At 48.0% G+C, this 9,978-nt stretch overlaps 1 protein-coding gene across 40 annotated transcripts in view, besides 4 other annotated features; it reads right to left on the minus strand.

Annotated features, from left to right (window-relative positions):
- The window catches only part of DHRS12 (dehydrogenase/reductase 12), a 49,310-nt gene that overhangs the window by 37,906 nt on the left and 1,426 nt on the right, over positions 1-9,978 (minus strand). For 24 of the 40 annotated variants that reach the window (XR_007063698.1, NR_165333.1, XR_007063697.1 and 21 more), the window contains exons 2-3: positions 6,775-6,908; positions 5,067-5,149 (exon numbers count right to left, since the gene is read on the minus strand). Coding sequence is in view for 33 of the 40 variants with exons in the window: in XM_047430637.1 (XP_047286593.1) it covers positions 5,067-5,149; positions 6,775-6,908 (217 nt within the window). In the remaining 7 variants the exon portion in view is untranslated. The remainder of the gene's footprint in view (positions 1-5,066; positions 5,150-6,774; positions 6,909-9,978) is intronic. The other 16 variants (NR_165332.1, NR_165330.1, XM_047430642.1 and 13 more) reach the window with 1 other exon arrangement.
- Positions 1,029-1,388: an enhancer, noted in NCBI's record as "active region_7779". NCBI's record gives its function as "activates an Ori minimal core promoter by ATAC-STARR-seq in GM12878 lymphoblastoid cells {active_cell/tissue: GM12878}" and the evidence as "EXISTENCE:reporter gene assay evidence [ECO:0000049][PMID:35858748]".
- Positions 4,294-4,822: an enhancer, noted in NCBI's record as "H3K27ac-H3K4me1 hESC enhancer chr13:52371189-52371717 (GRCh37/hg19 assembly coordinates)". NCBI's record gives its function as "activates a minimal SCP1, AML or CMV promoter by ChIP-STARR-seq in naive H9 embryonic stem cells {active_cell/tissue: H9 hESC(naive)}" and the evidence as "EXISTENCE:reporter gene assay evidence [ECO:0000049][PMID:30033119]".
- Positions 4,893-4,972: an enhancer, noted in NCBI's record as "active region_7780". NCBI's record gives its function as "activates an Ori minimal core promoter by ATAC-STARR-seq in GM12878 lymphoblastoid cells {active_cell/tissue: GM12878}" and the evidence as "EXISTENCE:reporter gene assay evidence [ECO:0000049][PMID:35858748]".
- Positions 9,720-9,769: an enhancer, noted in NCBI's record as "active region_7781". NCBI's record gives its function as "activates an Ori minimal core promoter by ATAC-STARR-seq in GM12878 lymphoblastoid cells {active_cell/tissue: GM12878}" and the evidence as "EXISTENCE:reporter gene assay evidence [ECO:0000049][PMID:35858748]".

The raw sequence follows: 9,978 nt of genomic DNA on the forward strand, positions 1-9,978 counted from the left end.
TCAAATCCGGTTATAAGTTACGTCGTTGTTTGTTTGTTTTGCTATTGAGTTGTAGGACTTACAAGAGGTCTTGGAGATGATTTTGTTACATATGAATCCACCCTATTCGTTTTAATGACTACATAATTTACCTTTGCATGGATATGTCAGGGTTTCCTGCTGCTGATCTTTTTTTTTTTTTGGTCAAAAGTTTGCTCTTCAGACAGTATCTCAGGCACATCATAAATAAGATGACAACTTCTGCTGTGACCCTTAGTCCTTGCTCATGACACTTTTCAATCTCTGCCTTGTATCATGGTTATCACTGGACACAGCCACCTCCCCAGCAGGCTTAGAACTCCATGAGTAAGGGACCCTGTCTAATGTGCCGTTTCTCCTTATGGTATTACACACAGTCATAGGCATGGTAGTCGACTAATGGATCTTGGCTGTTTAAACCTTTTTCTCTGTACCCAGTACCTAAGTCCAAACTTGCATTCTTAGCATCCAATGAATGCAACGGCATCCTCTCTGAGCATCAGTGGACATACGTGACTTATCACTAACCCAAGGCAGAGGGCACCTAAGTATTGAACCTACAGACGAGGATCTGAGCAAGAGCCACAACTCCTTTGACAAAGCAGAGAAGTTCCGTGCCCTGCCTGAGTTTCCCCATTAATCAAGCTATAAAACTCAAAGCTGTAGTCGAATTTATTTCTACTCATCTTAAAACATATTGTTTTCTCACCTGAGACAAATGAGACAAAGCAACTCCACATTTTCATGACTCAGAAAGTCTAGTCAGGTTGAACACCATATTCAGCTTAAGCCTGGCCCAACTGAATATTCCTCTGCCTTCAAAGGATAGGAAAAATGTTGTCTGTACAGAGCTATTCTCTTTTAAAATGTCTGTGAAGGCCCTCACCCAGCCAGAGCGAACAAGGCTGCTGAGTCATATCTGAGTCAGCCAGGAGCCTGTACCAATGACTGCAAACTGAGTCTAGACACCTAATCCTTCCATTTTGAGGCCTTGTCTGCCACCACCCTAAAACTCCCTCCTACCAGAAAGCGCTGTGTAACATGTATACAAAATCCAGGTTAAAACAGCAACAAAACTCAAGTGAACTAAAAGCAATTCTGCTTTAAACGTTCCACAAGTTATCTGAGCTTCCTGGAAGCGCCTGAGATGTCTCAGAGTGAAAAGGAGGCAATAGCAGGGAAGAGAGAATCACTGTCCTAGACAAATCAGCCACGGAGCTGGTGACATGAAGCACCAAGAAAAGAGGAAGGAAATCATCTGTGTCCCTCTGAGGCAAAACAGGAGGCCACAAAGCACCCAGAAGGAGAGGCTGGCAGTCTGCTGTGGCCAGGAGAAGGAACTGGAAACAGGTGCATGTGTGTAAAAGTCCCAATCTGCGGAGCCACACAATGAGAAGGCTCACCTTAGGAGCCACTGGGCCCCACTGTGATACAAGCATGGTTACTGAAATTGAACAAAACAAAACTCAACTGGGACCCTTTCTGCAGACAAGCCACCATCTATAGCGGCTGTGTGACCCAGGAGTCATGAGGTGACATCATGGGGACTGATCCCCCCATCAGAGCAGTTCCCACAATGAGCACGGTAAACAGTGCATGGAGGTGTTTTGTTAAGTAGAAATCATTCTGGAGAAATGAGGCGGTATTTCATAAAACCACTGAGGTCTTGGGAAGCTAAATCAACCATTCTCAAGAAGCTAGAAATCCACATTGGCCTGGAAGAGCTGGAGAGTCGAAACCCGTTTTTTATCATGGTGTGTGATGTTGGTGGAGTCAATCACCCATAAGACATAAGTGCTTTCACAGAACCTTCCAGCCACATCAGGAGGCCTGCAGGACTGAAAAATGTTGCCCAGGCACCTGTCCCTCTGTGATCTTTCCCTCTAAAACCCATAACTCCAGTGTAATCATCAGAAAGACATCAGACAAATCCCAACTGTGAAAGCCTATCTCAAAAATAGCCTATCTCAAAAATCCCGAGAGCCTATCTCAAAAAATAATACATAAAATAGAAGTTTTTTTTTTTTTTAATGTTACCCATGGAGATAACTGCTAGACGAAAGTCTGGAGCCAGGTACTAAGGTGGGGCTGAACTGCAACCAGAAGCCTGGGGAAAAAGGTACACCCTGTTTCTCCCCTAGGCCCTTTGGGAGCATCGTGTCCAGTGGACTGGTGAGCCAGCAGTCTGCTCTACAGTAACCAGTACTCCTTTCCCCAAGCTTAAGCCACACATAACCTCTCTGAAAGATCACCTCAGCATGATATTCACCTCTCTATATGGCCAAACACCTGATCTTACCAAGCCAGCGTGTACAAGCAGCTGAGATCCCCACGTGACCTTGAGCCTTACCTGGTGCCTGTGCTCCCTGGCTCAGCTGGCCTGCCGCACACCTCACCCAGACCCTCCTGCCCAAGGGACCTTCTTTCTTTGATGTTCACCCAACCATGCACGCAGGACCAGCTGCTCCACTGCCCTCACAGCTCTACCACACATCTTTTCTGCTACTGGGGGCTTGCAGGCTTCCACCTCCCACTGAGCAGGGCCTAAGCACTGATTAAACAGAACACACTTGAAGCAGAGAATGTAAGGTTGGGAGTGGTAATAATATTAGTATAAACAATAATGATAATACCAACAATAATAATAGTAGCTACTTCTATTGATTGAGAGCTGTTTGTTCTTAGGATACCCTGAGCTTCCCATCTTGTAGCCCTTATCATGTTATTTCAGTAACATCTAACAGACACCTCTTTCAACAGAGGGAACTGAACGCAGGGATTGATTTCCCAGGTGATTAAGGAAGGTGAGAACTCAACCAGGATTGGTGAAGTAACCCAGAGATTAGTAACAACAGGAAACTACCACCAGCCCTAGGCTCAAGGAACAAAGGGAGAATGCAGTGTGGCCTGAGCCCAGGAACCAGAAGGAAGAACCAGAGAGGAGATTCGCCATCACCAGGGAAGCCAATATCTCAATTCCCCCCTTCCTTTCACCTAGCAATCTTCCTCTAGTAACTGCCATTGGCCAAACCCAGCCAAAAGCTGTCTGGTTGTAGGAGCTGAAGAAACACATACCTTGGGGTTCATACTATTTGTCCCCCAACCCACCCCCACTATGATACAGAGCATGGCGGCCAGGCCCAGGGCAGGCACACACACTTCAAGGAAACTGTTAATCACTTGTATCCTGCACAAGACTGTCTGGGGCTGTGTCTGTCCCAATCACTGTGTCTCCAGCTGTTTGGCATACGGTTCACCCTTAAATACATGTTAAAAAACTAATAAAGTCAAGTTACCCCTATTTTTTAATGAGGAAATGAATGTTCAGGGAAGCTAAGAACTTTGCCCAAGCTCACAGGCCAGAAAGTGCAAAACCAGGACTCGTATCAGAGCCCAACTCCCTCCTTCATACCACGCTTTTGTGTGTGGGCTGCCTACCAAAGGTAGACCAGATGAAGCTGTGGAGTGGGGCCTCTTCATAAGCAGGGAGGGACAGCTGATCCCTGGCAGAGCCTGGAGGAGACACTGAGTCAGGGAAACCACAGACACTGGCATAAGCAGACAGGTACCCTCATCCTGGACGCTCCACCTCTGAGTGCTGGAGGCCACTTATAAACCCGAGAGAGCAGTGAATGTCCTGTGTGTGCATTCAAATCCCGTCAAGTGTATCTGTATGGAGGTGAGGGGGGCAGTAGGCAAGGGCTTGCTTTCTCCCCAGTGCAGGAACATGCTTGCTCCCCTTTTCAGCTCTCTACCCCTCCTAAACATGGTGGAATTAGATATAAGCCAAACAGATCCATATTATCATCATTTTTCATTTAAATATACTTTTTAAAGCCTGTGGCCCACACCACAGCAGGCTGGAATCCAGGCAAACCTCCTCCTGTCCGTGGCCTGAGATTAGTATTCTTGTTGCATCCTGCAGCAGCACCACCGAAAGTTATCAGCAGGCAGACAGCCAGCTTTCAATCTCGAGAACTGCAGCCCGCAGATCGCAGCGGCACTTGCAGACATTAGAGGAAGATTTAGAGACCCTCACACTTGCCGCCAGCACTAAGCCTCTGTAAGGCACCTGATGGCATGAGACTGGGGATTTCCATGAGAAAGGGAAAGGAACAGACACTTGGTGTGAAAATGTTATTTCAAAGTTGATGCAAAATATTCCATCCTAGAGAGGGGCATTCTTCTCTTTGACCAGGGTCCATGCCTGAGGGTGGGTACTGTCTGTCCCTCCCCAGCTTCCCTCCTACAGGCCCTCCAATTGTGGGGTCTCCTAGAGAAGAGGTAGGAATGGAATGAGGATGTTCTTTAGTGACAGTGAGCGAGCAGCCATGACTGAGGGTCCTTTTGGGGGTCAGGGTTTTCCATTCAGGGCAGCCTTATGGCTACACGATGGATCATGGGAATATGATCTATACAGCTGCACACGCCCTGCGACTGGAAAGGCCTCAAGCTTGGTTTAATGTCCTGCCTTTGTTGTGTAGAAATTCTAAATAACTTTTACACAAGGGTCTTGCATTTTCATTTTGCACCGAGCCCCACTAATTATGTAGCCAATCCTGGTTCCAGCTCTTTCAGAACAGAAAGACCACAAAATGTGAGGCAGCTCTGAAGGCTCGTGTCAGAAAGTAGCTCTCATCAAGACCCAAATGCTGCCGGTGTTTCTCTTTATTAGAGCACATCGGGTCAATGCATGGCTCCGTGGCACCCGGGTGACCCTTGCTGTGTGTTGCTGATGTGGGCTCCCTCTGAGGTGAGGAGACTGGAAGTATCACTGTCCAGTGTAATGGGCCTCTGCCTGCTGGCCTCTGCTGGTTTCACAGGCAGCTCAGGACCATGCGGTCAAGCCTCAGTGCCCCCACTTATCCCCTTGTCAAACCTAGCCATTCAAAAGCAGGGCCCAGCTCCCTGCTGGCCGAGGCTGCTTCCAAAGCAGAAGCACAAACACAGGCCCTCTTCAACCCAGGGAAAGCGGGTAGGAGTCCAGCCTCCTCACAGCTGACCATGGAGGCAAGGAAACCCAGCAGGAGGGGTGAGGAGCTGCTCACCTGGTTACCGCTCTCCCGGATGATCTCACCCCTGGCATCTTCTGCTGGGGCTTGATCTCGACAAACCAGGTGAACTGTGCCACCTGGTGGAATTCAATGAAACCATCTGTGAGTTACAGCGAGAGCTACAGAAACCAGCTCTTCCTAATGAAAAATGAAGACATATGGGCTCACAGTTGACACTCTTCTGTTAAGCCTAGATGGGTGGTTCCCAGAGTTAAGAGCAGCAAGGGCGATGGTGAGGGAGGTGCTGGAACCTTATTGCCTACCTGTGCTGACAGTGCGTCTGGAATAACATCCTGATTTTTTGAGGGCCTGAACACATCAAGGATAAGAAACATTGATCTGGGTCACATATGCCTCCCTAGCATCTAGCATAGTAGCTGACCCAGATGTGTTAAACCTGGCTGCACTTTAGACTCATGTAGGGAGCTTTTAAAGATCTAGGCGATAGGCCCAGGACTGGGTATGTTTTACAAGCTCCCCTGGTGATGTAATGTTCAGCCAAAGTAGACAGCCACTTGCCTAGCATGTAGTAGAGACTCAAGTATTGACTGAATGTTGAGTCCATCAGCAGCCCTCATATTATCCCAGCAAATGCCACACCATCATCAATCAAGGTCAATTTAAAGCAGAATGCCTTCGCCGTGGCAGCTAAGAACGAATCGTTATGGAGTCTGCTTTCTTTACTAAAAATCACCCACTTGATTAAATGGGGTGTTTCATGGGAGGCTACAGGCTAACCACAACACTAGCCCCTCTTCTCTCCTCCTCTCCGCACTTCAGAGTGCTTCCCAGCTGCTAAGATGCAATTAATCCTCTCCCTGACTTGGCAGATAATTAAATAAAGCTTCAAATGATATAATAGTCCCCTGAAAAATGCCTAACTTGGATTTAGAGAGAGGAAAAAAGAAAACATCTTCAGCATCTTAAAAAGTGATAAATTCACAACCTAGTTCCCCACCTTCTGCTGGAACATCCATTTTTCCTGAAGAGGCTCTGGAGAGATGCAGCAAACTTTTCTAGCCACTGCAGAGCCATTTGGTGACCCAGGATCGTTGAGCTCATGCAGGAAATTCTGGCATTTACCATGAGGAAGACTTCTGCTGACTGAAGACTTTACAGTGCACCTGAAGCACCTCTTTATAGTCAAGCTTAGGGGAGGGAAGCGGGAGGCTGCTCTAGCCCTGGAGGCTGGACCCCAGCAAGGAGGAAGTTTAGTTCAATGCACTCCTCTCTCCAGGTATTTTGGGGGCCTTGGTTCATAACTACCATCCACATCCAAATTGCAGTGGACTTTGAGGCTCCCCCTCCCCTTGTCTCTCACCCCAGGAGAGTCTCATTGAGAAGACATGAGTTAGAGACCAGGTGTTCATGTTTTTGTTTTTGTTTTTTTAATTAAATTCCACTGGGGATTCTGATGTCCAGGGTTTGCTTGAGCCCCTCGCTGTTCTTAATCAGAAAACACTGGGACACGTGGGCAGGACCCCAAGCTCGCCTGAGAATTAATTAAGTGTTGAGGAAAGGGCTCCTGTTGCTCTAGCCACCTGGAGCTCAAAACTCAGAAAGCTGGCAGCTGTGCCCAGAACCATGGGATCGCCGTCCAGGACTTCCTGGCCTGCCTGTGACACAGGGTGCCCTCCTCAGTGTGGACCGGCCGCAGTCTGGCCGTGGGGCTCAGTGGACACACGTGTTAGCAGCTGCTTACCTCGCTTGGCGATTTCAAGGGCAGTTGCTTTGCCAATGCCGCTGTTTCCTCCAGTGACCAAAAAGACTCTTCCAGGAATCTGGACCTCCAAGTCATGAGGGACAAAGTCTTTACATGCAGATTCATAGCCACTCCTAGAAAGAGGAGACCCACAGGAAGACCAGCTGTAAGGAGTGGGGAACACAAACCCCTGCAGGAGAAAGCCTAATTCTAGGATGGGCATTATTGCTGTCTCCGCCTCTCCCAACACATCACGAAACTCCTTTCTCCCTTGCCCTCCCTGCTCTCACAAACACCACTATCTCGGGGCCTGCATTTCCTGGACCATGATCTTTCCAAACTTTTGAAAATATTGGAGATTCCAACATTTTGGCATCCAAATTGTCTTCCTCTGACTGCCCCGATCCTGGGGAGTGGCAAAAAGAAAAAAAATCCCTTGACAGATGAATTGCTCTTTTCCCTTTTGTGGGGGGCAGGTTTCAGGAAGCTTAGGAGACCATTTGCATTGTGCTTATTGCATTGCAGGACAGATATCCTTGCCTACTTGGAGAAACGGGGGAGATTTGCAAGTAGGGAATAAAGGAGGAGGATGGTAGAGTTATTTAAGCTCTGCACCCATCAGAGGAAGCCAAGGCTCCTTCAGGGACACAAGGTGTGCACTGCACAGCTCTAGGGAGTGCCATTCGGATCAGAATGATGGGATATTTGTATCTGCATTATGATAATGTTCTGGCAGGTGGCAGAAAAGCATATTGCAGAAGAGGTATTTTTTCTGATTTGCACAAAGGCATCATATTGGATAGATGCAATTGTGAGTTCTTTAACTGTTTCTTTTTCCCATTCCTTTTGCGATACCTCTCTACCTTTACTCTTCTAGTATTTCCTGGCTATGAAATTGGCTAAGGGCAGTGGTGGCAGAATGGTGGGGTTGGCAGGTGGAGGCCCAGAGGGCAGACTCTGCCCACGCACAGGCAGGCTGGGGTCTCAGAGCTTACATCTCTCACCTACGGAGCCGAGAGATTTCTCCTGGGCAATGCAGGATGGGACTCTGATCTCAAGGCTCCACAGATGCTGAGAGCCCTCCCACAGGACCTGTTTACAAAAGGGTAGCCAACAGCTGGCCTCCTGCCCCATGCCCTGGTACAGCACAACTGCCAGTTACATGCTCTGGAACTCGGGGAAGTGGCCAAAGGATGTTTATGAGCTTGGGTTTGGTTTGAAAGTCATTGCCACGGGGCAGGCATTGCCACTTGTTTCAGTCAAGCCAGATGTTCTTAAGAGAACAAGAAAAATGTTCCTGTTTTCACCATCTGTAACTCACCAGAACATGCAGGGCAGCTTAGAGAACACCCTACCCATTGCTTCTGCTGTGAGTGGCAAGCAAGACTTCTTATTCCAAAGCCTTCCCAAAAAGGTTGACTTGAAACTTAAAAATATCAGTAACAAGGGCTTGAACAACCTGGGTTTAAGTCACAGCTCAGCCTCTTACTAGCTGTGCCATCTTGTGTGTTGATTTAACCTTTCTGAGCTCTTATCTCCTCATCTGCAGAAAGGGAATAATAAGAGATACCTCTTGGGCAGCCTAAATGAGATGCCGCATCTAAGGCACTTATGACAGCACTTGGAACATATTAGGAGCTCAATAATTAGCAGCTGACATTATTATTTTTTGAGACAGAGTCCCACCCTGTCGCCCAGGATGGAGTGCAGTGGCGCGATCTCGGCTCACTGCAACCTCCGCCTCCCGGGTTCAAGTGATTCTCCTGTCTCAGCCTCCTGAGTAGCTGGGGTTATAAGCGCCCGTCACCACACCCGGCTAATTTTTGTATTTTTTAGTAGAGATGGGTTTTCACCATGTTGGCCATGCTGGTCTCGAACACCTGACCTCAGGTGATCCACCCACCTTGGCTTCCCAAAATGCTGGGATTACAGGCATAAGCCACCGCACCCAGGTGACATTATTATTATCACTATTAATAATGACAGTACCGTCCATGTTCACACTTGAGCTCATTTGGCCCCCAAGCCTTCAAATCAGTAGGGACTTTGAGAGCATTTTAAACTACAAAGAGGAAACTGGAAGATTTTTTTCCCCCTAAACACAGACGTGAGCCCTGGAATCTCTGTGAAAGGCTTTTCCGGTAGAGGCAAGGGCCTGAGTCAATGAATAGGGGCTTAGCTAGGAGGAGGCATTGTGGGGAATGAGTGAGAACTTCCCAAATACAATAGAGCCAGAAAAAAAGCAGTCCACAGGGAACAGGCCTGAAGAGCCCTTCTCCAGGGGCAGGAAGCTGACAGGCTTTTCTCTGTGATACCCAGTCAGAGGGGACATTAGCCTCTGGGCTCCACACTGATCCGTATTAGAGACGAATGTTTGCTGAGGCTGGCTCCTCTGGGTTGAACCTCTTCCTCAAACTCCAGACTGGGAGTGCTGCCAAGCGGGCAGTACCAGCCTGGCCTGCAGGACATGTCCCCGCCCTCTGTCCTCTGCCTTGGATCTTGCCTTCCATACAAGAATTCCATCCTGGTCCGATCTGTTGTTAATAAGACTTGTCTTTTATGTACTCTGCCCCTTATTGGGGAAGCATTTTATTTTCACTCTAGAAATCAGTCTCTAGATATCAGTCTCTATTTTTCACACACACACACACACACACACACACACACACACACACACACACACACGACTTTCCCAAGGTCACCAGAAGGTAGGTGATCTTCTTCAACACCCAGCCTCGGTGCCAAAGGGCAGTCCCCAGACAAGCTGCATCAGCATCATCTGGAAACCTGTTGGAAATGCCCTGCCTACTGACTCAGAAGTGATTGCTTGGCAACCTGTGGTTTCATGTGCCTTGCCAGTGATTTTGACTCAAGCTGAGAGGACATTTGTACTTACTGTTTCCTGAAGCTGAGGTGACAGGGATGGGGAGGAGGAAGCTGGCAGGTATCTGTGTCTCCCCACACCCTCAATTTACCCAAATATGAAATTTGCTTAGGACCCATCCACACTTGCCCAGGGTTTAGGAGTCTGTTTAAAACTGCCCCAGGGAATTATTAGGTTCAGCAAAGTTTAGGAAACAGTGATTAGATCCTCCTGCCTTAGGAGCCCAATATAGGGAGGCTTTATAAAAATCCTTGTGCCAAGAGAAACGTTGTAAACTCTAACTCCGCGCTCTCACACTGAAGTCAAAACAAGGTTGTTGT

This window comes from Homo sapiens, chromosome 13 (assembly GCF_000001405.40).
Source record: "Homo sapiens chromosome 13, GRCh38.p14 Primary Assembly".
Lineage (NCBI taxonomy): Eukaryota > Metazoa > Chordata > Mammalia > Primates > Hominidae > Homo > Homo sapiens.